The 24,865-nt window shown below is 49.3% G+C and overlaps 1 protein-coding gene across 2 annotated transcripts, besides 7 other annotated features; it reads right to left on the minus strand.

Annotated features, from left to right (window-relative positions):
* Positions 107 to 186: an enhancer, noted in NCBI's record as "active region_2432". NCBI's record gives its function as "activates an Ori minimal core promoter by ATAC-STARR-seq in GM12878 lymphoblastoid cells {active_cell/tissue: GM12878}" and the evidence as "EXISTENCE:reporter gene assay evidence [ECO:0000049][PMID:35858748]".
* Positions 1,760 to 2,209: an enhancer, noted in NCBI's record as "active region_2433". NCBI's record gives its function as "activates an Ori minimal core promoter by ATAC-STARR-seq in GM12878 lymphoblastoid cells {active_cell/tissue: GM12878}" and the evidence as "EXISTENCE:reporter gene assay evidence [ECO:0000049][PMID:35858748]".
* On the minus strand, positions 5,247 to 23,191 carry PIGR (polymeric immunoglobulin receptor). 2 transcript variants are annotated; one of them, NM_002644.4, is made up of 11 exons: positions 23,061 to 23,191; positions 17,214 to 17,309; positions 15,844 to 16,188; positions 13,820 to 14,476; positions 12,211 to 12,543; positions 11,145 to 11,471; positions 9,711 to 9,891; positions 9,181 to 9,302; positions 8,396 to 8,527; positions 8,222 to 8,280; positions 5,247 to 7,138 (listed from the first exon to the last, which is right to left on the minus strand). In NM_002644.4, the coding sequence occupies exons 2-11, from the start codon at positions 17,254 to 17,256 to the stop codon at positions 7,043 to 7,045; spliced, it is 2,295 nt and encodes a 764-aa protein (NP_002635.2). In that variant the 5' UTR covers positions 17,257 to 17,309; positions 23,061 to 23,191; the 3' UTR covers positions 5,247 to 7,042. The 2 variants fall into 2 exon arrangements, with proteins under 2 accessions (NP_002635.2, XP_011507931.1); XM_011509629.2 differs by having other exon boundaries at positions 22,993 to 23,191.
* Positions 6,327 to 6,376: an enhancer, noted in NCBI's record as "active region_2434". NCBI's record gives its function as "activates an Ori minimal core promoter by ATAC-STARR-seq in GM12878 lymphoblastoid cells {active_cell/tissue: GM12878}" and the evidence as "EXISTENCE:reporter gene assay evidence [ECO:0000049][PMID:35858748]".
* Positions 6,847 to 7,136: an enhancer, noted in NCBI's record as "active region_2435". NCBI's record gives its function as "activates an Ori minimal core promoter by ATAC-STARR-seq in GM12878 lymphoblastoid cells {active_cell/tissue: GM12878}" and the evidence as "EXISTENCE:reporter gene assay evidence [ECO:0000049][PMID:35858748]".
* Positions 6,847 to 7,756: a biological region, named in NCBI's record as "H3K4me1 hESC enhancer GRCh37_chr1:207103683-207104183".
* Positions 7,063 to 7,563: an enhancer, noted in NCBI's record as "H3K4me1 hESC enhancer chr1:207103683-207104183 (GRCh37/hg19 assembly coordinates)". NCBI's record gives its function as "activates a minimal SCP1, AML or CMV promoter by ChIP-STARR-seq in primed H9 embryonic stem cells {active_cell/tissue: H9 hESC(primed)}" and the evidence as "EXISTENCE:reporter gene assay evidence [ECO:0000049][PMID:30033119]".
* Positions 7,187 to 7,756: an enhancer, noted in NCBI's record as "active region_2436". NCBI's record gives its function as "activates an Ori minimal core promoter by ATAC-STARR-seq in GM12878 lymphoblastoid cells {active_cell/tissue: GM12878}" and the evidence as "EXISTENCE:reporter gene assay evidence [ECO:0000049][PMID:35858748]".

The following is a 24,865-nucleotide window of genomic DNA, read 5'->3' on the forward strand; positions in this document are numbered from 1 at the left end:
AATGTGAGGCTCAGAGCAGGTGCAGAGGAAGTGTGTGGGGGGGTGGGCAGCCTGCCCTGCCCCATCCCTATCTGAATCTCCCCTGGCCCGGAGCAGCTGTGGTTGTGATGTCCTCCAGCCCTGAAATGGGCCAAGATGGCAGAGGGCAGCCTCGGGCCTCTCCTTAGTGCCAGAGCTCCCAGCTGGGATTAGCCCCACCCTTCCCTACTTAGCGGGCTCTTCCCAATGCCCCAGAGCTGTCACACAGCTGGGCTCCACCATGCACTGGGCTTGAGGCCTGGGGCTGTCTTGGAGAGACAGAGAAGGGGAATATGAGTGAATGAACGTGATGTGTGTGGGGGCAAGAGTGTGTGAGTATGAATATATGTATGAATGAATGTGTGAGTGTATGATGTGTGTTGTATGACTCTGATGTTTGAGCGTGTGAAGTATGTGTGGTGTGTGTCTGAGGTGTGTGTAAGGGTGCAATGTATGTTGTGTGATACGTGTGTGGTGTGTGTGTGGTGTGTGGCTACAGTGTGAGTGTGTGTAGTGAGTGTGAACATGTAGTGTGTGGCTATGAGAGTGTGAGTGTGTTATGTGTAATGTGTCTGTGTGAATGTATGATGTGTGGCTATGAGTGTGTATGTGCTGTGTGGTATGTGTGTGAATGTAGGATGCGTGGCTGTGTGATGTATGTGTGTGTGTGAATGTGTGGTGTGCGGCTATGTGTGTGTGCTATGTGTTGTGTGTGGTATGTAGTTATGAGTGTGTGTCACTGCGTGGTGTGTGGCTATGAGTGTGTGTGTGCACACTCTATGCTGTGTCTAGTGTGTGAGTGGTTGAGTGTGTGAGTGTGTGGTGTGTGGTTATGAGTGTGTGTGTTCTCTGTCTAGTGTGTGTGGTGTGTGGTTATGTGTGTGTGATTGTGTGTGTGGTGTGTGTCCATGAGTGTGTGTGTGCTCTGTAGAGTGTGTGAGTGTGTGGCGTGTGGCTATGAGTGTGTGTGTGCACTGTGGAGTGTGTGTGTGGTGTGTGGCTATGAGTGTGTGTGTGCTCTGTGGAGTGTGTGTGTGGTGTGTGGCTATGAGTGTGTGTGCTCTGTCTAGTGTGTGTGGTGTGTGGTTATGTGTGTGTGATTGTGTGTGTGATGTGTGTCCATGAGTGTGTGTGTGCTCTGTGGAGTGTGTGAATGTGTGGTGTGTGGCTATGAGTGTGTGTGAATGTGTGGTGTGTGGCTATGTGTGTGTGCTATGTGTTGTGTGTGGTATGTAGTTATGAGTGTGTGTCACTGCGTGGTGTGTGGCTATGAGTGTGTGTGTGCGCACTCTATGCTCTGTCTAGTGTGTGTGTGGTTGAGTGTGTGTGTGGTGTGTGGTTGTGTGTGTGTGGTGTGCGTCCATGAGTGTGTGTGTGCTCTGTAGAGTGTGTGAGTGTGTGGTGTGTGGTTATGAGTGTGTGGTGTGTGGTTGAGTGTGTGTGTGTGGTGTGTGGTTGTGTGTGTGCTCTGTGGAGTGTGAGTGTGTGTGCATGTCTGTGAAGATCAGGGTTTGGCTGGGCTGAGGCTGGGGCCTGCCGGGCAGGGCGGAAGGTGTGTGGGATGGGAGTGGGCAGGAGAGCTTTTTGCATCACGTGTGGCCCAAGTGAAACCCTGAAAACATCCCATTAGGTTACAAGACTTAAGAGTTAGGGGTGTGAGGACGGCTGGGCAGGCGGCGAATGTCGGGAGTTTGAGGGGATCAAAATCCCCAGAACTGGGCTTGTTCCATTTACCTTTAGCTGTTGCCCCTGGGTCATGGGGGTTGGGGCCCAAGGGAAGACTGACTGCTGGTGAAATTGTGAACTTTACAATTCTTACATCCTTATTTTCTTCTTTCTTTTTTTCTCGTCTAAGCTCGATTTCTCCTTTCTGACTCACAGGGCTACCATGGTGCCCTGGCACTCTTACTCCCAGGGGAGTGTCTGCCAGGCTGGAGCACACCATGGGGCAAGGGAGCCAATGGCCCAACACCCTCTAGGGTCCAGAAGGGGTGAACCTGATGGAAAACATTCACAGCCCCCCGACAGCGGGTGGAGGGAATAAATAATGCCAGATCCAATGGAAAGTGAAGTCCTTGAGGTGTGTTCATTCGCTCTGTATGATGACCTTTTAGCTTAGGCTCTGCCATCCTCCCTATGTTACAGATGGGCTAAGAAGAACGTTTCTCGTAAGGCAGTTGTGAGGATCACATGAGGCAAGTGTTACAAGGGACTCAGCACACAGCCTGCGATGTGGTCAGAGTGCAGTGGAGATGAGCCACCGCCACTGGGTGGAGCTTGTTGTCATGGGTTCTGCTTGGTTATTGCTTTTCTCTGCTTTGACCTCCGCATGGCCGGGTTACAAGGGCCATTTTCTGGGCCTTCCCAAACTGAGGGCCTCCATCCTCAGGTGGTCCTCTCCATGACCCAACACTGTTCTCTGCAATGACAGACCACAAGAATCTCCTTGTCTGGTGGACTCACCAAGAACAAGCCCCCTCCCCAGGTAGAGGTACCTGACTCAGGGACCCTGTTGTCCCGTCCTTCCAAGCACCGCAGGACCCCAGGCTTGCCTGTCCCAGAGCAAGCCACTCCACAGCAGCAGGGCCTTGGAGCATTTACCTTTACAACAATAAGCCCATTTGTGACTTTTTTTTTTTTTTTGGCAGAGTCTCACTTTGTCCCCAAGCTGGAGTGCAGTGGCGCGATCTCGGCTCACTGCAACCTCCGCCTCCTGCGTTCAGGCAATTCTCCTGCCTCAGCCTCCCAAGTAGCTGGGATTACAGGCGCCCACCACCACGCCCAGCTAATTTTTGTATTTTTAGTAGAGACGGGGTTTCACCATGTTGGCCAGGATGGTCTCGATCTCCTGACCTTGTGATCTGCCCGCCTCGGCTTCCCAAAGTGCTGGGATTACAGGTGTGAGCCACCGCACCCAGCCATGTGACTTTTTTAAAGATAATAAATGGTAGGATTTTGATGACTAAGATTTCTTTCCTGACTATGGCCATATTCCTATTGGAGTTCTGAGGTTAAAACTCCAAATATGCAGGACTTTTGGATCAACTTCAATGTGACATAACAGCAACAACCTGGATTTTAGGATATTCATGTCCCTGTATCTAGGACAAAGATTTTTGGCTCTAGGGAGAGTGGCTTGGCTGCCCTTTTAAGAATCAGCCTTGGAAGAGACACTCCAGAGCTGCTTGGCTCCTATACCGATGATCCTCTCTCCATGCCTGCCTTGCTCCACAGCCTGCTGGGACCTTTGGTCTCAGTCTCACAGCTTGCCTCTCAGCATGTCCACTGTCCACTTAGACATGTAGCCTTTTTGAGATGATCTCTTATTTTTGTTGCGCAGACTCCTTAGTAGAGATAATTATTTTAGGAAAGCTGGGAGGGATGGGGTGGGAAACTCTACTTGTTTCTCTGCCTGGGGGACCGGTTTCATAGACCATAGCACAGTCAGTTCCTCTCGCTGCTGTTTAATGTTCTTAGGAGAGATGTTCTGTCTTGAGTTTTGGAAAAGTCTAAATCAGAGATCTATTTTTTAGCTTTACAAAACAAAATCAATTGCTATAAACAAGTTCCTGGCTGGGTGCAGTGGCTCACGCCTGTCGTCCCCATGCTTTGGGAGGCAGAGGCAGAAGGATTGCTTGAGGCCAGGAGTTCCAGACCAGCCTGGGCAACAAACAAGACCCTGTCTCTACCAAAAAAAAAAAAAAAAAAAAAAAAAAAAAAAAAAAAAAAAAATTCCTAACCACTGTTTGGCCTTAATAATGCCCAGCAGTGGTTGAGCATTAATAATAGTTGGGCCTTCATAATAGTCCTGTTGGGCCTTAATAATAGTCCTGTCTTTACATATTGGACTTTTAAAAAAGAATAAACATTAAGATAATTCAAGAACTTGGGAAAGATTTCCTTGTCATCAAATGTTTAAACAGTTCCTTGAATGCTCGGGGCCACTGACCGTTGCTAATTGGTTTATCATCATCAATCCTGCAGTTTATGGTCACTCCCCTATACTAAGCTGAATCATATCCTCTCCAAACTCACGTCCACTGGAACCTATGAACTAGCTTCCTTATTTAAAAGGGTTTCTTGTGCTACACGGGGAGCAGATGGACTTTGAGCCTTACTGACAATATCACTTAGGAATAATATAAGATCGCTTTTGGCTTTAGTGACATTTCTTGACCTTTGCTTCAAAGGGCTGGGATAGGCTACACGAGTTCAGGACTGGCTCGCTGGTTATTGCAATGCGTACAGAAGTTGCATCTTAATCCTCTACCATAAACATGGCCCTTTGGTGAGTCAGAGAACAGCTTCCTGGAAGGGTAAGACAGTGGTAGTTTCTGACACACCTGTCATTTTGATCCTCCTGGAACGATTTGCTGTCATTCCAGAAGGTATGCATCCCCATCACAGAAGAAAGAAAAAAACATTTCTGATGCCCCCTCTTCTGGCTGGATAGAAGCCCAAGACTCTGACCCAGGTCAGGGCCTGGGAACTGAGACTGGAGTACTGCAGTTAGTGGGGCTGGAGGGAACACCAAAGGAGGCCTGAAGTCTGAGTCCCAGGAAAAGGTAGGCTTGGGAAGCTCATAGCATCCACAGCATTATGTTTAAGGCCTGGGTGGAAGCAAAGGTTCACATCAGGCAGGATGGCAGACTGGGGAGAACTCTCTTGCAGAGAGAACTCTCCACACACAGAAGCCCTGTGGAAGAGTCTAGGGGTGAGATGGGGGGCTAGCTGCCAACAGACAGCTTGGGCAGCCCTTAGAGGATATGACATGGTTCAGCACCAGAACCTAGGAATGATCTTAACAGACAAGGGGGTCCCAGGGTGCCTAAAATTGGGACCAAAGCAAAAGGCAGCCAGATGCAGTGGCTCACATCTGTGATCCCAGCACTCTGGGAGGCAGAGGTGGGAGGATCAGTTGAGCCCAGGAATTCAACACCTGCATAGGCAACATGGCGAAATTCTGTCTCTACAAAAAAATACAAAAAGTTAGCCAGTGTGGTGGTGGACGCCTGTAGTCCAAGCTACTCTGGAGGCTGAGGTGGAAGGATCACTTGAAACCAGGAGGTTGAGGCTGCAGTGAGCCATGATTGCACCACTGCACTCCAGCCTGGGCAACAGAGTGCCCTGTCTTAAAAAAAAAAAAGGAAAAGAAAAAGAAAAGAAAAGCTCTGAAGAGGCTGTCTGGGAGACAGAAGGTATTGGGTGCAAATACAGTCTGAGCCTCGTTGGTGGCAATCACAGTCTTTAATCATTAATTGTCATATTTCTGATTTGTTAGCAAGTGCCAGCTTGTAGGCTGGTTGAAGTACAGAACTCAGAGGAAAAAAGAAATTAAATTTTAGCTTTCTGGAGAGCAGCCCCTCTCTGGCACCATCAAACACTTCTTTGTTTCCCTTCAACTTGGAACTCTTCAAACATCAGGGGTTGTGAGGGTTTGGCCATTCTTTTATCTTGGGTCCATGTGAGTGACAGAAATGGTGCGGCCTGGGAAAGATCTCCCTCCTTTACATTTTCTCTTCTCCCTCCTCCTCCTTATTCTAAAACTGTGCCTCCAACAGAGGGGCAGGGGCTCTTGTAGAGAGATCCCTGGCCCAGGACAGGAGATGCCAAATCTAATTTATCTCACTGAGGGCCTTTGAGAAAAACGCTTCAGGGCCAGGCTCAGTGGCTCATGCCTATATAATCCCAGTACTTTGAGAAGCTGAGGCGGCAGATCACTTGAGGCCAGGAGTTCGAGACCAGTCTCGTCAACATGGCGAAACCCTGTCTCTACAAAAAAAAAAAAAAAAAAAAAAAATTAGCCAGACATGGTGGCCCACATCTGTAGTCCCAGCTACTTGAGAGGCTGAGGCATGAGAATAGCTTGAACCTGGAAGGCAGAGGTTTCAGTGAGCCGAGATTGTGTCACTGCATTCCAGTCTGGGTGACACAGTGAGACTTTGTCTCAAAAAAAAGAAAAGAAAAAAAGAGGCCGGACGCGGTGGCTCACGCCTGTAATCCCAGCACTTTGGGAGGCAGAGGCAGGCGGATCACGAGGTCAGGAGATCGAGACCATCCTGGCTAACACGGTGAAACCCTGTCTCTACTAAAAATACAAAAAATTAGCCAGGCGTGCTGGCAGGCGCCTGTAGTCCCAGCTACTTGGGAGGGTGAGGCAGGAGAATGGTGTCAACCTGGGAGGCGGAGGTTGCAGTGAGCCGAGATTGCGCCACTGCACTCCAGCCTGGGCGACAGTGAGAGACTCCGTCTCAAAAAAAAAAAAGAAAAAGAAAAACGCTTCACTCTTCCAAACCTCAATTTTCTTATGTGTGAAATGGTAAGAATGTGGGTTTATAATTACCTGTGTGTATGCTCATCATACATGACCCCTAAGGCCTTAGGACTCGAGACATTTTATGACCTCTCCCAATAGGGGCAGAGGTGAGCACCCCTGGTGAAAAGTTAAGACTCAGTGAGTATAAATACGCCAAGAAGAGCTGTGGCTTCTTTCACTGGTGTCCTCAGAAAGGCTGTGAGCAGTGTTGGTGGCATACCTGTCACAGCATCTAGCAAAGCACCTGAATTCTAGTATGAATTCAAATACATCTTTTGATGGAAGGAAAGAAGAAGAGGGGAAGGACGGGAGGGAGGGATGGAGTGGAGGGAAAAATTCTGTTGACATCCCATGATAAGGGTGCAGAGGGGCGCTGCACGTCTCTCCTTTCTGCAATCAGCTCTCCCACCCTGGTCCCTCTTCCTTCAAGGGACCCATGAGGACCTCTATTCTTCTCCGTACCTGAGGTTCTCTCAACAGAAAGAAGTTGCAAGTGGGACCTCCTCATGCCACCCTCATCCCCAATAGGAACAATTAGGCCAGGCTTTGATGTCACTGAGGAGGGGACCAGCACGCCTCTGAGGACAGTAGGAAAAACCTAGGCAGGTGTTAGAGCAGGGAGTGGGGTCCCCAGGAGCTGAGGGCCCCAGGATCGACATGATTCTGAAGGTGATTGTCATGGGTGCAGGGAGCAGGCGGCGACACCGTCTAGGCTTCCTGGGGGCCGTCCTGGGCCTCGGCGGCCACGGTGCTGGACTGGAGCAGGAAGTCTTTGTAGGCCATCTCGGCTTCCTCCTTGGATGACTAAGGGGCAAGAGGAGAGGCATCAGTGTTGGGGGCACTGGCTCAGTGGGTGGAGTCAGGGGAGGGGAGGTGCTTAATGTCCTGAATTCGTGATCTTGGTCCAAGCAACACAAGCCTTTGGGGCCCACTGTTCTCATCCCAGCCCCCATGCTCACCAAGAAGGACGCATTTTGAGAAATGGAAAGTTGCAGCCTCTAAAAATATCTTCTTCTGTCTCACTACCTCCTTCTGACACACGGAGTGGAACCGCCTCTGTTGCCCGGGCCTGTCCCCGGAAGCTGCCCACACAGTCCACGGGCAAGGTGGCCTAGGCTGGGGTCAACCACGGTGGTGTATGTTTTTCTTTCTCCACCAGCCCAGACAGGTAGCTTTTTGGCACCACAAAGTTAAAGGGGAAGGCTGTCCCAGGAATAACTCGTTCTAACTTTGCTAAATGCCAGAGATGTTTCAAGAAAAAGTAGATATGATAAAAACAACAACAACAACAACAAAAACTCTCACCTCGGGATTAAAGGCATGAGATGTTATTTTTCTTGGTCCCCTGAGTCCTAGGGCAGATTGAGGGGATGGTATATGGCACCCAAGGCAGGAGTTGCCTCTGGTGGGGCTTCAAGAGAAGTGAGCAGGGGCTTCTAGCCTCAAACTGCCCACCGCAAGCAAATGTCTCCTAGGCCCAGGCAAAAAGCTGGTCCTGAGCAAACCCTCAAGGGAGGATGTGTGGCCTGAGGTCCTTGGGTCCCCCAACCCAGGAAGAGCATCCATTTAATCACCAGCATTTGGCATTGTAGCTTCCCATCTTTTATGCACCTGCTTTCCTCATCTCCTGGCCTGCCTCTCTCCTGCAGTTTTACAGCCTAATCATATAGCTCACCTCCTTCCTGGGCCTTATCCACATCAGCATCCCACAACCAGTAAGATATAGTTCTTCCTCAAAAAGTCCTGAGGACTCCTGAGGACTATTTATATCATCCTCCCTATTCTGGGATCGGCCCCCATGTTGAGGTAGTTCTTTCTGAAGTCTAACTGCATCCCCTCATGCTGCATTTCTTTGTCATGTAGTGGGGCTTCCTTCTTCCTCCTCACCCTTTTTGCCTTCTTGGGTTCTTTGGTCTCTGTGGTGCTCTCAGTGGTGGCAACAAACTCTGTGTGAAGAAAGAGGGTAGGTTAGCCCTTACTAGCCTCCTTTTCCCAACCCAGATGTGAGACCAATTCTTACTCTCCCCAGGGGCTGAGCATTCCCTTGAGTGAGGGTCATACCTTCTTTTCCTCCGAGGGATGTCTCCTGAGTGATCGAAGAGGCTCCCATGTTGTCATTGGCTCCAAATTCCCTGGAGTTCTCGAAGTCTGACATGCTAATGTCTGTCCTGTAGCTTCTGATTGAAACTCGGTCTGTCCGGGAGGAAGAGGAGTTGGTGTAAGGACAGGGGCTGGGACCTAGAAGGCCAGGCTGGGCTGCTTCTCTCTGGGCGGATCCACTGTAGCCCTGCAGGACAGCTGAGGTGGTGCAGCTCTGACTATGACCCAGGGGGATGGAAATGATCCGAGTCTCCTCCCCAGTCCCTTTTCCTGGGTAATCAGGACTTGGTAATCCCTGATCTTTGTCACTCTGGGACCTTTCAATGCACAGCATCTCCTTTGGTCCTCACATCAGCCCCGTGAGGTCCTGATTATCATCCTTGACTTGAGCCATGAGGAAACTGAGGCATGGCATAAGGATGGCTCAATGTCACACAGCTCATTAGTTATCCAATTAGTCCAAGCCCAGGGTCTCCTGAAACCCAATCTCCTCTTCCTGGCAGCCCTGTCTCTGAACCTAGATCCTGGGTAATTGGAGATGATTTTCCAGTGTTAGTATTTGGACAGCAGCTCTGAATTTCAGTTTCGAGTATGTGTGGGTTTATCTTTCCCCATCCTGCTTTCTCGGGATCCTTTGTTTTAGCTCATGAAAAAGAAGAGACACAGCAGCTTCCTCTATGGGTGGATGATTCAGGACTGAGGGCTCGGGTTGGAGGTGGGAGGCAGGGAGTATCCCAGGGACTCACCGACGTTCTTCCTGTGCCGGGCTCTGGCCACCCCCACAGCCACGGCTCCCACTGCCAGCACCAGGCCCAGGGGCACCAGGGTGGAGACCAGCGCTCTGGAGCTTCCACCTTGTTCCTCAGAGCTGGAAGAAGGCTTAAGTTAGTTCATCCCTGGAAGGGAGATCTGGGGGCCCGACGATGTGCTGGCAAGGTTGGCTTAGTCCTTTTTCCTCCCAGGTTTATCCACCCCACCCTGCTGATGCAGCTCCCTAGCTCTGTTCTTCTAAGAAGCCTTCCCAGACTGGCAAAGGCACGCACTGGGCCTTGTTGCATCCTAGGCCTGGAAGATTGAACTGAATTGTAAACACCTCCCCAGCCATGGGAGAAGGGCAGAGGGTACCATAGGACCCTCCCACATATAAGCAGAGGTAGTAAGGGCTGCCCCAGTGCTCAAGAGACAGATGGGCTTTCCTCCTTGGACCTGGTGGCCCAGCCTCAGGTGCTCGGCTCTGGGGTGTTCTCCGAGTGGGGAGCCTTGAATCCTTCCTTACCTGCCGGAATCCACAGATGCTCTGCTCCCATCGGCTTGATCTCTTGTATCTGCCACCGCCTTTTCCTCTGCAAAAAGCCTGGGATCCTGAATGGCTTTGTTCTCAATCTCCCGAAAACCAGAGTCTAGCACCTTCTCATCAGGAGCAGCGTCTGCCTTCGCTAGGCTGACATCGCGGGACCCTGCAGCAGGGAAGAGTGGGCCTGGGTTGTGATTTTTCTCTATGCTCTTACTCCTCGAGGTGAAGGAGTCTGGGGGAGACTTCATGAGGAATCACAGGGTCAGGGTTCGATCTCAAGGCTGTTGGGGTAGGACCCAGGATGACATTAGAAACAGCTGTGATGGCCTTCTTCAGCTGTCACAGATGATCTCTGCCCCATTACTACCAAAAGTATAGTGGGGACCTTCAAGGCTTCGTGTCATAGACCAGCTGTGCATAAAGGCTGACCCATCACTTATGCCCGGGAGATTTTCAAGGCTCTGAGACGCTGCCCCAGGCTTCCTGACTGCCCAGCTGGGTATGATAGTGCTGCCCCCTGGAGGTAGCCTGGCGATGGGCCCCTCAGTGAGTCCCATCCGCAGGGTCCAGACCCAATAGGATTTCTTGAGGGACTACAAATACCCTTATTAGGGCTAAAACATTTCATGTGAAATTTTAAAAGGGGACTTGAAATGCAAATTTACTAGATGTTTCCTAATTTTCCTGATCAGACCTTGTAAATGAAGGTATCTGGCCCTCTTTCGAGGGCGAGCTTTGGCAGGGGGAAGGGGGATGAACATATTGCATATGACAGTGATGTATGCATATTATTCTTCTATACAGAGAAGAATATTTCCAGATATAGAAGAGACTTCAATCTGGGTTGAAGTGGCAACTATGGGACTTGTCTTTTTTTTTTTTTTGAAATGGAATCTAGCTCTGTTGCCTAGGCTAGAGTGTGGTGGCACGATCTCAGTTCACTGCAACCCCTGCCTCTTGGGTTCAAGCAATTCTCATGCCTCAGCCACCCAAATAGCTGGGATTACACCACCATGCCCAGCTAATTTTTGTATTTTTAGTAGAGACGAGTTTTCTCCATGTCAGCCAGGCTGGTGTTGAACTCCTGGCCTCAAGTGATCTGCCTACCTCGGCCTCCCAAAGTGCTGGGATTACAGGTGTGAGCCACCACATTCAGCTGGGAGTTGTCTTAATGCCGAGGTTAAATAGCAAACCCACTATTTTTACTTAGTTGGTATGTTTATTTGAGATGTCCCTTTTGAAGGGCTCAACGAGGCTATATAGGACCTAAATGTCCCCTCCCTTCCCACTCTCCACTTTCAGCCTCTTACAGCCAAACATAGGGGCCAGCACTGATTGAGAAGCTCTCAGGCAGGGGCCTTCAGGAAGTCCTGCCTCTGGGTCTGAGGGGTGCAGGCCCTGTCCTTGGAGACTCACCCGCTGCCTTCCTCTCTTCAACTGCCACATAGACGGCTGCAGTCTCTCCATAGAAGTGGCCCTGCTTCACTCCACACCAGTACCAGCCCTCATCAGCCCTGGTCACCAGGTTCAGGGTCAGGGAGACAAGCCGGCTGTTCTCGTCACAGTTCACGAAGGCCTTGCTGGGGCCTTCGTCTTGGCTGGGCAGGGCCTGGCAGCCCGTGTTATTCCACTTGCACCAGTATTTCTCGTACGAGGAGAATTTGCATGGAAAGTGACAGGGGACCTTGAGAGTCTCTCCCAGCACAGCCGTGACATTCCCTGGTACCTTGAGGTTTGGTTCTCCTGGAGGAGGGAGGGAGGTAGAAATAAACACAGAAGTTGGTACTTGGAGATGCTGCAGGGAAGTGACTCTGGTGGGAATCTTTGTCCACATGTCATATACATATATATATATATTTTTGTTTTTGTTTTTGAGACAAGGTCTCTCTCTGTCACCCAGGCTGGAGGGTAGTGGTGCGATCATAGCTCACTGCAGCCTCCATCTCCTGGGCTCAAGCAATCTTCCTGTCTTGGCCTCCCAAGGTGCTGAGATTACAGGCATGCACCACCATGTTCAGTCTACATATCCTCTTTGGATAGCATTAGAAATAAGTATGTTATTCTGACTACAGAAGAAATGTAATTGTGTGCCTAGGTAATAATTATTATTGATGAGCACCATGATCAATCCAGAGTCTACCATAGACCATAGATCTTCACACATGGACTTCAGTTTGCTTTCCTCACTCTTCCTTCTCTTCTAGACTCAATACAAAGAGGTATCTGCAATCCTTGACTTCAGCTGATGCCTGCACACTGCGAAAGAAGCCCATGTTCTTGGTAGTAGGAGGTACCATGTATGGTAATTCAGAGTGTAAGGTGCGTGTTATAGGCATGAAAATGTGACCTCTGGATAGGTGGGCTCCCTCCTGAGGTCTGGCCCATCAGGGTGGAGGCGGGTGAAAAAGGAGGAAGAGTGGTTGGGGATGCTGCTGCTGGCTGGAGAGGTTTTAGAGCTTTCTCCCTCCCTGTCAACTCCTACCTTCGATAATCTTGATCTCCACGGTGGTCCTCCAGAGAGTATCGCCGTTGGTCAGACACCAGTAGAAGCCGGCGTCCCGGCTGGTGAGCTGGTTGAGGATGACAGTGAAGGTGCCGTTGCCTGGCTCCTCCAGCAGGGAGAGGCGGCCCTCGTACTGGGCCTTAACCCACCCCTCGCTGTCCACCAGCAGGGGGCAGCGGCCATTCTGGGCCCCTTCCCAGAGACACCAGTACTTGATGCTTTTGCTTTCCTTACGGTTGTAGGGGCAGAGCACGGCCACAGAGCCTCCTGCCACCCCCTTCACCACAGTGGGGCTGCGGGGAATCGTGGACTCTGGAAGCACAGACAGAGATGGGATGGGAGGATGGCCACGCAGGAAGAGCCTTGCGTGGCCTGAGAAGCCTTCTTCCCGGGGTCTCAGCCAGGATGGGGAGTGAAGTTTACACGCATCACCTTACCCTCTTCAGAAAATGAAAAGGAGCTTTCCTAATGTCACAGAGCCTGCAGCTGGAGCCATCAGGGCCAGACTCCAAGGGCTTGGAGTCTCCCCATCAGCCTGCACATGTTGTTCTTTTCCCCCATCTTATTCTGAGCAGAGAATGGAAGGAGTTGAAGGAGAGGATATCAGCTCTTCTTTGGCTTCTTACAAAGTCTCCCTCTGTGTAGGTTTTTGTCTATTTAGTACACTAACAAGTGTATTCCACAAAAGTGGCCCAATGGATTATGCCCAAATCAAGAAAATATATTTAGGATGGTATGATGTAAACTATAAAGTATGTAGCAAAGGTGAGCTTAATTGTTGGGGCCCCAAGGGGCATCTCAAAGACGATAGCCATTCTCCAGGCAGCTAAAGCTGAGATCCAGAGAGAAGCAGGTGACCAAAGATGCAGGGGATTCTGGTGAAAACCCAGAGCTGGATGTGGACATGGCATGCAGAGAATATAAGCCCCTTTAAAAAAAAAAAGTCACAAGCACAGATACTTGGAACTGCAAGTACTGGTTTGCTGCTTCTCACGAGGGCAACTCTATGCAGGGTGCTCTGGGATGAGAAGGAGCTGGGATTTAATTCTTTCACCATGCTGATGGCTCACTGGAGTAGGGCTGAGTGGGCCAGATGGTGCTGAAATTCACAAATAACCCTACGAAATGTGACAGTGAAACATTTAGAGGCTGGGGCACTCCTGGGAACGCATTGAGACCAAGATAAGCCAATCCTTTTTCCATCTGAATGTGAGGGATGAGGCACCCATCTTGTTCAGGGGCCAGGGGAGGGGACAGAGGACCCCTGCAGAGCCTGCCACAGCCCTGAAACACAGTCTATAAGTCCTGCCTCAATCAAGAGCTTTACTCACCTCTTGCTTGTTAAGCAGGGACAGCCATCAAAATGACTTTGATAACAGAAGAGTAATTAGGAGCTGCCATCAGGCAGAGGTTGCTTTTTCTTGCTGTCCTGTGCAGCAGCCCACGCAGCCTCCAGTTCGGGGCTGGTCATTGAGTGGATGCTGTTGGCTGATTGATGACTATTGATGAATACACTCAGAGGGAGCTGAGCTTGGCTCTCACCTGCGAGACTGCCCCACCTACTCCCCCTCCCTCTCTAGGGTCTTACCCTCATTGACGAAGAGTTGCCAGGCCTGGATAGGCGAGCCTTCCTGCAGCTGACCATCCGAATGGGCTCCACACAGGTAGCGCCCTGCATCCTCCTTCCTCAGGCCTGTGATCACCACACTGAATGAGCCATCCTTGTCCTGGGGGTTGAGCAGGATCCTGCCCTCAAAGGCTGGGGCCCTCTTCCCCAGGGTGTTGACGACCACGTCACAGTTTTCCCCACTGCTCTGTCGGCACAGAAATTTGGCCACGTTTGCCACCTCAGGGCCCAGGGCACAGTGGAAGGTCACTGAGCCCCTCAGGTCTTCATAAACCAGCTCGGGCTCGGGCTTTAGCACTTGGAGGTCAGCATTCTTCTTATTACTATTGGAATCATCCCCAGCCTGGCAGAGATACTGCCCAGCATCGCTGAGCCTGAGTTGGTTGATGACAACGCTGAACAGTAACTGGCCAGTACCCTGAATATCAAGGCGTATTCTTCCTGTATAGTTGGGATTTACATAACCACTGGAGTCGATGACCAGCACAGGGTACAGGCCTATCTGCTTGTACAAGGACTTCCTCTTTTGAGCATTCTCAGTCTTGAAAGGGCAGTTGATGGTCACCGTTCTGCCCAGGTCCACTGTGTAGACTTTAGTGTCATTTAGGAGCCCAGGACCTGCAGGATGAGGGGTGCAAGGTAGGGGGCAGGCAAGTTACGATTCTACTTTCTTGCAACATAGGACTATTTGCTATTCCTAGTTAGGGTGTGGGTGGACTTATAACCTGGAATGCCCTCCTTCCCAGAGGAATGCTGTCGGAAGGCCCAGCTTGACAGCGGTCTTCTCCATGAAACCTTTCCCAAGCTAACACTAATCTCTCCCTGCCCTGTGCTTTCTTGATACATCTGCATCACTTATTACATCCAATCTGGTGTATGGGTAATTATGTTCTCCATGGACTGGAAGTTCCTTGAAGGCTGGAACATGTTTTTCTCATGTTTGACCCCTCTGCTGTGACAAGCACAATGCCTCTGGGTAGTAGGTGGCCAAATTAATGTGTGCTGAAATGAACAGAATGAATGTAAATGCAGGGTGATGGATTTCAACGCATACAATAGAAGTTTCTAAAAATTACAAGAGTCTAAATGTGAAATGGGCTGTCTCAGGGAGCAGTGAGTTTCTGCTAAAGTGCTTAATCAGAGGCTGCATACCCGTCATCAGCATGTTCTTCTAAGTGTCCGGTTAGGGTGAACTCTAAGCCCTCTTCACCTCTAAAGATTCTGTGGTTTTGAATCTTGATCCCCACCTAAATGACCTCCTCATTTAGTCCACAGACAATAGTATGCATATTCCAAAGGAGCAAGACATGTCTTTGGGAGTCCCCCTGAATTTCTTTTCTCCGTAGACCTCTCTTTTGAGTTGCCCTTGACTATCTAAAACAGCCTCATTGTTAAACCCTTGTCAGAAAGAGCTTTTCTTTTTTTCTCTTTCTCCAACTAGAATAGGCTTGTTAGCAACCCATCCTTTCAGGATCTTGGTCTTTGGTCAAGATCTAATAATCTAATTTACCCTGATAATACCAAAAGACTAAGGGTTCCCAGGTTAAAAAAAAAATATGCATTTTACAAGAAGCCTTTTGGCGGCCCAAACCTTGATGGAAAGGTGCATTAATGATAGGAATTTAAGGATCCCTGTAAATCTCTCCCTACCTTTTCTATCTCCTTAGCCTGATGTCAGATTTCCCTTTCTACCTGTAGCAAACACCAGAAAACTTGTCCTTCTGATACCCTTCTAAGCTGGGGTCTCCAGAAAGCCTAAAATGTTATAGGCCACCAAGTCCTAGAAGGGTTCACTCATCACCCCCAAGTAGGCCCTATCTGTCTCCTTCTCCTGTTAAAGAAGTCTTTGCCTGGGGAAAGGGGTGCCTTCTGACCCCCAACCCGGCTACACATCCTTGTCAGGAAGTTCCTCCTCAAGCCCTCCATGCACCTTAGAGAATTCCCTCTAACTTTCCCCCAGAAGCCCAAGGAGCTTGGATCCTTACCCTGGCTGACCTCCAGGCTGACATCAAAGGACAGGCCTCGGCTATTGATGCCCAGGCCACACTTGTAGCGCCCGGAGTCATCCTGGCTCAGCTGGGCAATGTTCACCACAAATGTGCCGTTCTCCGGGAAGTTGGTGAGGTTAGCCCTGCCTGCATATTTGCTGGAGACGTAGCCCTCCGAGGAGATGAGGGTTATGCAGCCACCTCTAGCTCCCTGCCGGCACCAGTACTTCCGGGTGTGCCGGTTGACAGAGGTGGGTGGGTAGTAGCACGTGATGGACACTGAGTTACCTTCCACACTATTCACCTCCTCGGGACCAAATATGGGACTCTTCGTGGAGATGGCTGTGGGAACAGAAGAGAGAGGCTTTCTGAGGCCCTTGGGAGGTAAAGCCTGTTCCAGATAACCCACTATGAGTAGATGTGGTTTTCTACCTGACACGTAGGCCCTGTGTTGATAATTTATCATATATCACAGCTGGAAAATTGCTGAGATTAAATAAAGTGACTGTTTTAATCATGATTAAATTGGAATTGTTATTCATTAATGATAACCATTTCAAGGACAAGGGAATGACAAATTTATGATAACCCTTGTTTTTTATTTTATATATTTTTATTGTTTTGAGACAAAGTCTCTCTCTGTCGCCCAGGCTGGTGTGCAGTGGCACGATCTCGGCTCACTGCAACCTCCGCTTCCCAGGTTCAAGCGATTCTCATGCCTCAGCCTCCCAAGTAGTTGGGACTACAGGTGCATGCTAGCTAATTTTGGTTTCTATTTAGTAGAGACAAGGTTTCTCCATGTTGGCCAGGCTGGTCTTGAGCTACTGACCTCAAGCAATCCACCCTCCTTGGCCTCCCAAAGTGCTGGCATTACAGCTGTGAGCCAGCATCCAGCCATCCATTGTTTTTTCAAACAATAACACCACTTTCGTAAGGTGTTACATGTTTGCACTTGCCATGTGTTATTTCCTTATATTTCTAAAAGCACTTTGTAGATGATTTTCTTTTCTTTTTTTTCCCCCAGATAAAAATATTGAGAGCCAGAAAGGATAAGTGACTTCCCTCAGATTTCACAGCGGGTCATAGAGATGCTTGGTTGAAGTTAAGGTCTTTGTTATTCTCAAAGAAGATCTTTCACAGACCCCTGGCCTTGAGATTAGGAAGTGCCATTCCTGTCCCTGACTTCCAATGCTCACAGATGTGGCCTTTCAGTGTCTTCTCTGTATGACTCTTCCTCAAGGAAGTGCCAACTTTGAGAGGGACATCCCTGGGGATGAGTCTGATTTTAGTGTCCCCAGGGAGGTGAACCCTGGAGTCGGGCAGGCTGAAGGGGTGGAGCTTGGAGAGTTGGGGCCTGGCAGACACACCTGGGAAGACCGCCAGCAGGCAGGTGAGCACGAAGAGCAGCATTGCTGGTGGGTCCCGAGCGCCGCACCACTCAGGCCGACTTCTCCTGTGCAATGCTGAAAAACAATAATCACAAGGAGATGAAGCGCCCCTTGTCTTCCAAGACTAGTTGACCTTAGAGTTTCTGTGACATCTATTTGGCTTTGTATCTCCAGCAACTGACATAAATCCTGTTGAATGAATCAGTGCCTCCACTTTTTCCATAACAATTCAAAGTCTTATCATCCTTCAACACTTGTATATCCTTAATAGCTAGAAGTAGCTTTTGTCTTCTCAACTAAGCTGCAAGCTCCTTTGGGATAGAGATATTGTGTCATTTGCTCTGTTTCCCTGCCCATGAGACACAGTCCCAGGCACACCGTAAGATCTCAGGAATGGCTTGCTGGGTGATTGGTTCCTACCAATACGTGGCCCCCATCTCTCTGTTTCAGCTGCCCTCCCTACATTCCTGGGAGGTGAAGCGGGCTGACATATTTCACAGTGTGTTCAGATGAGGAAACTGAGACCCACAGAGGAGGTGTCATGATTATTAAGGCTGTAAATGTAATGATGATGGTCCTAACCCCATTGATTGCTCCCTTATTCTGTCTCAGGCACTGTGTTGAATAATTTATGTGTACTATCTCATACAGACTTGATATCAGCCCTGTGAGGTTAGTATCCTTATCCACATTCACATGGGAGGAAATGAAGGCTTCAAGGTTAAGTACTTTCCTCAAGGGCACATGGGGTTAAATGTGTGGGGGTACACAGAATGGGGGTCGGGGAAGATTTGGGCCCACCTTTGTCTGACTGCAAAGTCCATGTGCTTAACCTCTCCACTACTGTATCGCACCCCAAATACAAGAGCATGCTTTTACCTTATGCTTATTTGTGTTATTTGTAGAGACCCTGTTGCTTATGAAAGCACTACCATTTACATTATTTCATTTGAGCTTTATATGTTCCCTTGAAATAAGACAGACGGGTATAATCACAACCATTTTATGGATAAAACATTGAGGTCTTGAGATGCTGAATGATAGGCTTACGTTTTCCCAGCAACTTGGTTATGGAATTGGGGTTAAAAGCTTAGGTGTTAGGGTCTTTGTAATCCTGCCTGGTAAGGCCTGGCAGACAAAGATGAAGAATCGAAGATGAGACCACTCAGACGGAGCAGCCTGTGTGGACTTTGTCTCCACCGTGGACACAGCCCAGGGCTGAGGAGAGTTGAGGGTCCCAGGGGTCTGCCTGACAGCAGCTGTCATCAAGACCCCAACTACAGCCTAGAGGAGGAGACAGAAGTCTCCACTTTCCCAGACTTTGACAGACTTTAAACTTTGGAGTTGTCTTGACAAAGAGAGTGTTAAATGATCGTAAGTTTGGGCAGTAATGAGTGCCCATAAAGATAAGGACGCTGTAAGCAGGAGGAAGCTGGGCGTTATCTCCCAGACCTCCCTCACCACCCTGGCCCCTGCTCCTGCTCCCAGACTCCCTTCACCAGCTTGAGCCAAAGGCAATAGAGTTGTTTATCTTGGTTATTTCTTTGTTGCAGGGGAATTTCCCAGCAAGGAACCTTTTATTTCCTTGTGAATATAAAGGTATTTTGTTTCTGCAGTTCTTTGGAAGAATAAAGGGAGGGAGTGGGAACAAATATGGGTGTCAGATGGCAACGTTGAGGCTCTCTTGAGTCCGGTTAATTGCCCCAGACCTTTCTTACCAGGTCAATGATTAATGCCTGGAGTGGGGCCTTGGCCAAATACCAGTCAGCTCCAACATGGAAGCAATCAGGGGACACTAGCTGGGATGTCATCACCTGCGTGGGCACTGCAAGCTGCCATGGGAGATGCTCCCAGGTGGGAGCAGCTTTCAGGAGGCCAGGAAGTCTCAGAAACAGTTGGGATGGGCTGGCTGCAAAGTCCTGGGAGATCTACCATTTTCTACTTGTGCTGGCACAGGGTGGGTGCAGTCACAGGTGGGAGGACAAAATGCTGCCTGCTTTTAAGAACCCACACCAGCAGCAGCTGTCCTTGCTTCTTGTTCCTGTCCTCACCTCTAGATAAGCAAGCTGCCTCATATTTGCGTGAGACAGGAGTGGTCTTCCCACAAGCTGAGCTGGGGGATGCAGCCCTCCTCTGGACTTGGCCTGGGTTGCAGAGAGTCAGATGCCAGCTTCTCCAAGGTGAAGACCACCCTGACCTCTGTCCCAGACTTCTCATTTTGTGACATGTTTGGGTGGCTGTGCATGTTTGTGTAGAGAGGGGACATGTGTGTGCACCCATTACCCTCTGCATGGTCTCAAGCCAGGGATGAGAGCATCAGGCATGCACAGGCAGGTCGGGCAGATGGCAACATCAGCGGGATGCACACAGTCCAGTCCTAGATGGGATGATTGGCAGGAGAGGATACCCCTGCTTTCAGGAACAGGAGCTCTTCTTTGCCCAAAGCTAAAACTTGAAGCACAATTTCTCTAGTAGCATTTGAAAGGACCTCGAGCTTTCAGAATCATTACAGACCCCTTCCTCTCAAAACCAGAGACTTTCTTCCAAACCTGGGGATTCAAATCTCGGGAGACCTCCCCAGCCCAGGGTGGCTGGGGCTGGATTTAAAGGATTTGCTTAAGGAAGGAAGAAAAAGAACATAATGTTGGGCACCTGCTACGTGCCAAATGCTTTGCTAGGTTCTTTTCTTGTAAGACTTCATCCATCAGCACAACAACCCAAGAGATAGATGTTGTTATCCTCATGACACAGGTTGGAAATCTAAGGGTTATAGGGATTCTCGACCCCAAGACCCACAGCAGAATCCTAATTTGAGGTCACTACCCCATTATCACTCTTTAAATGAGCAAAGGGACCTGCTTTATTGGGTTTTATATATATGATATTATATCATGCATGAGGGCACGTTTTCTGGTCCTTAAACTAGCAGTTGTTTTTTCACTGCTGAGGCTAGGATGTGCTAGATCATTTTCAGTTTACTAAGTTAGTATCCCAACATATGTGTAACATATGTCCCCACAATTGTGGATTGGGGCAGGAGTGTAAGCTGTGCTGAAGGATAGTTTTTCTTTTTATAAAATGTATTTAACTAGCTCCTGTTCAGTTAAAGTGACTGCACTTCATCTCTCATGGTGTGGAGTCCAAACCTTTGTCCATCTAATCTCAGGTTTCCCTCTTTTTCAGAGGAAGAAAGGTCCCCTGGACTTGGTATGAGAGTAGAAGTCTGCTTGCTGGACATCCTTTGAAGATAGAGAGATGGAGAGTGAGCTACTTAGGTTGGACTCATGTGGATAAGAGAGGAGACAAGCACTATGGGCTAGGCTAGAAGAACGTACGCTGAGTCCTTTCCAGGTGCTTTACATGTGTTAATGTGTTCCATTTTTACAGCCACCATAGGAGATGGGACAAAATGGGCAACCCCATTTCATGAGTGAGATAATTGAGGCACAGAGAGGTGAGACATTTGCCCAAGGTTGCACAGTTGGTAAGTGACTTAGATGGGATTCTAGATCAAGAGCATAGGCCCTTAGCCACTCTGCTTTACCTCAGAGGGTCTTCCTATTGAGAGGAAGCAGTGGAGAGAGGAAGAAGCAGGATATTCAATCTTAGCGAACTGAGAATTTGTTCAGTTCTTTCCTCTCTGCCTTTCACGGAAAAGGCAGTTCTTATAAGGAGACACCTGGGGCCGGGCGTAGTGGCTCACGCCTGTAATCCCAGCACCTTGGGAGGCTGAGGTGGGTGGATCATGAGGTCAGGAGTTCAAGACCAGCCTGGCCAACATGGTAAAACCCCATCTGTACTAAAAGTGCAAAAGTTAGCTGGGTGTGGTGGCATGGGTCTGTAATCCCAGCTACTCAGGAGGCTGAGGTAGGAGAATCGCTGGAACCCAGGAGGTGGAGGTTGCAGTAAGCCAAGATCACGCCACTGCATTCCAGCCTGGGTGACAGGGCAAGATTCCATCTCAAAAAAATAAAAAATTAAAAAATGAAGAGACACCTGGACCCAGAGGTAGGTGCCAACAGAGAAATTTCTTCCTGGAAAATATTAGCTGCTATTTATTTAGCACCTACCATGTGTAGGATATGTTACATAACCATGGGTATAACCAGGCATGTTGACGCCAAAGCCTCTTTCCACTCCACCATACTGTGTCGATGCCAGTGACATTGGGACTCCAGCCCCAGCCCCTCCAGAGAGAGGGCAAGACATAGATGAAGGTCTCTGCTGAGCACAATGCATAGGTATTTTTTTTTAAGTTGGATAGTTTGCTTTTTAGGTGACATCAAAATGTCCTCATGACCATATCAAAATGGCTGTACCAAAACCTCATCGTTCAAACTTGCTGGTGACTTCACACCACTCACATAGACTCACGGTGTCTTGGTTTCCTCAACTAGGGAATGACATCACAAAACCAACCCTGCCTACCTCCTCGTTGGTATCAAGGGAGAATGAGACGAAGGTGTGAAAGCCCAGGGCAAGTGGGTTTACTAAATGGAAGCCTGTGTGACCCCATTTTTTATCACCTAAAGCCACAGAGGTCTAGCGGCACTAGGAGATAAGCAGAGAGAGTTGCTTTCCTGACTCCTGGCTCAGTGTTCTTTCTGCTACTTTAGCACATCCAGGGGCGGGACAAGGATGGAGAGAGAATTCCAGATCTGGCTCTGGGAAGACCTATGTCCAGGCACCAGACAGCTGCCTTCTACCTAAACCCCTGAAATTGGCATCTCCTCTCCAGATGTTAAAGGATCTATAATTCCCCTAGTGAAGGGGGAAAGTGATGGCACAAAATAGGAGCAGCTTCAATGGCCCCAGGCACTGTGGCAATTGCACAAAGGGAACTGGGGGTCAGGGATGGAGCTTGACCCGCTGCTGCCCTTGTGCCGGACGGTCCCACTGCTGGCTTGGGCTGCTGTCAGGATGGGCAAAGGGAGGGGAAGCCCATGTCTGAGATCTGCTGGCTGCAGAGCCAGGAGGAACAGCAGGAGTTGATCATGCTGCCTGTGGGGCTCAGCTCCACCTCACTCAGTGATCCCGTGAGGACCTCTTTTTTTCTACCTCTAGGAAGGGCAGGATGATGCGATGACACACATTTATGTCTCCCATGGCAGGAATCTGCTAGAGCAAAGCGAGGTGGAATTGCAAAGGATTTCAGAGGTTCTTGGAAGCCCAGAAAAAAGGAGCTGAACATGCCTTTGCCAGAAAGCCACAAGTGGGAAACCTCAAAGAATGGAAGAGGACTTGCTAGGTGCCATACTTTATGCGCACTATCTAATTCCAGGTCTGTTGGTGTTCAATAAATCCTTGATTAATTAAACTAAACTGAAAAATATGAAACAATTCCTATTTCATTCTAGAGGTTACAAAGCTATTTCACCTGTGTTTTCTCATTTGAACCCACATTGACCCTGAATGATAGGTGTTATTTCTATCTTTGTTTTACAGATTAAGAAACTGAGGATCAGAGAGGTTAGGTGGCTTGTCTAAGGCCACACAGTTAATCAACTATGAGGAGTTAGGAAATCCAGGCACAGACCAAGCTGAAAGAGTAGAATTACATATGCTGACCACAGAGGTCCCTTCCCACCTGCTGATATTTCTCAGAAAAGGATGGGGGGCTTCCACACACGTGCATCCCTACTCGTCCCACTGCGATATGCACGCTTACTCCCCAGCCACACACAGTCACACAGTCTGCCTCCTTGTCCTTGTCACCCCACTATCTAGGAGACTGGGAGTTGGGAATGGAGGGGGTTACCTGAGCCATCGTCCCGAGCCCTTTCCAGATAGCATCCCGTCTGGGGATCCCAGAGCAGTAACACTTACTTTTAGCCACTTCCTTCTCTCCCGTTGATCTGACTTCAGGGACACAGCCTGCTGGCCAGTTGGTAACCCCTGCCTCTCTAGGAGCTACTGGCAGGGCACTGGACGCTGCTGCCAAAACTGAAACTCTGCTCAGTGTTTGACCCACACCTGGGCTCTTAAAGGGCCACTCTCCCACAGGCACCGTGGCCAGCCAGGGTCATGTGACTCTCACAGATCCCTTGCTTTCCTTTCATTTTGGCCTTCCTGGCTGGCTCCATTTGGTTTCCTTTGACCTTGGGGAGACTCTGTTACTTGGGAATCCTCCATCGTTGCAGCTTCAGGATGAGGGACAGAATGTCAAGCGTGAAGATGCTGTTCTGTCGCTTTCTAGCTGCAAGACCTTTGGCAAGTCACCTTCCTATTTCTTTTCATCTGGAAAAGAGGGATGGTAATACCAAATCTACAGGTAGAGGATATAGCCCGGTATTAGCTCTAAAATACCTGGCCCAATGCTTGATTTGAAGTTGACATCATCTGATGGGGCACAGGTGGCAGGAGTGGCTGTCGTAGTCCTTGGTCTCATATCCCCAGTTGCTCTGGAATCCCCTCCGACTCCCTAGGTTACTTAGCCTGGACAAAAATGCCCCTTATACACCTCCTGCCAAGCCCCTTTTACCAGTCCCAGAGCTCCAGGAACTGGCAGGACTGTGGCCCTTCCTGTTTCACTCCCCAGAGTCATGAAAGACTCGCTGCTTCTGGGCTCCCCTGAACATGGCTGACCTCAGAGTCTTGTTAGGACCCGGGCTCGGCTCCATAGCAAGGACGGTGCTGACCTGCTGAGCTGAAGTAGCACCTCCTTCCCTATCTGTTAGTCCATGCCAAAACATGACCTGGTTGGGACTCCCAGGTGTTCCCCAAATGATCGTGGCAGTCCTGTGACAAAAGTGAAGCCCACTCCCCAACACACACGTGTATGGCCCCCCGACCCCTCACTGCAAACCCCCACAGAAATGCTGCCCATCCTACCTGTGCAGGGCTGACCCAGGCTCTCCCTACAGAGTCCTATAGGCCAAACACCAGAAGGGGAAGGAAAAATAGAGAAATAGAGCCCTGGAGAAACACAAGGCAGCCAGAGCCCTGGGTCTTATTTTAGCTAACCACTGGCTCACTTGTGGGTGTTAACACACAATCACAGATTTCAATGGCAAGCAAAAAAACCCCATAATTTCTTTATGTAGCTTAATTTCTCTCTTTTTTTGTGGTTTGCAAACTTAGATTTTCTTTTTTTATTTTGTTTTAGGTTCCAGGATTACATGTGCAGAACGTGCAGGTTTGTGACACAGGTAAACGTGTGCCATGATGGTTTCCTGCACCCGTCAACCCACCACCTAGGTATTAAGCCCCACATGCATTAGCTATTAGTTCTAATGCTCTCCCTCCCCCCACCCCCCCCAACAGGCCCGGATGTGTAATGTTCCCCTCCCTGTGTCCGTGTGTTCTCATTGTTCAGCTCCCATTTATGAGTGAGAACATGTGGTGTTTGGTTTTCTGTTCCTGTGTTAGTTTGATGAGGATGATGGCTTCCAGATGTAGCTTAATTTCAAACCCTAAACCCATAATCTGACTGATAAAAGAAAACAAGTTACCTAGTCACTTCTAGGCAAGCTCAGCCCAATTCAGTGATCTCTCAGTCACTTCACTCCAGATTTAAAATTTAGCCTCATTATGGAGTTCCCTTCCTTTTTGTCTCCCTTCTCTCCCCTGGGGTCCAGTCTGGAGAGAGCGGTCTTGGGTGAGGGGGTGGTCAATGTTACTGCTGAGGCAGT

The sequence above is a fragment of the Homo sapiens genome, chromosome 1, assembly GCF_000001405.40.
Source record: "Homo sapiens chromosome 1, GRCh38.p14 Primary Assembly".
NCBI lineage: Eukaryota > Metazoa > Chordata > Mammalia > Primates > Hominidae > Homo > Homo sapiens.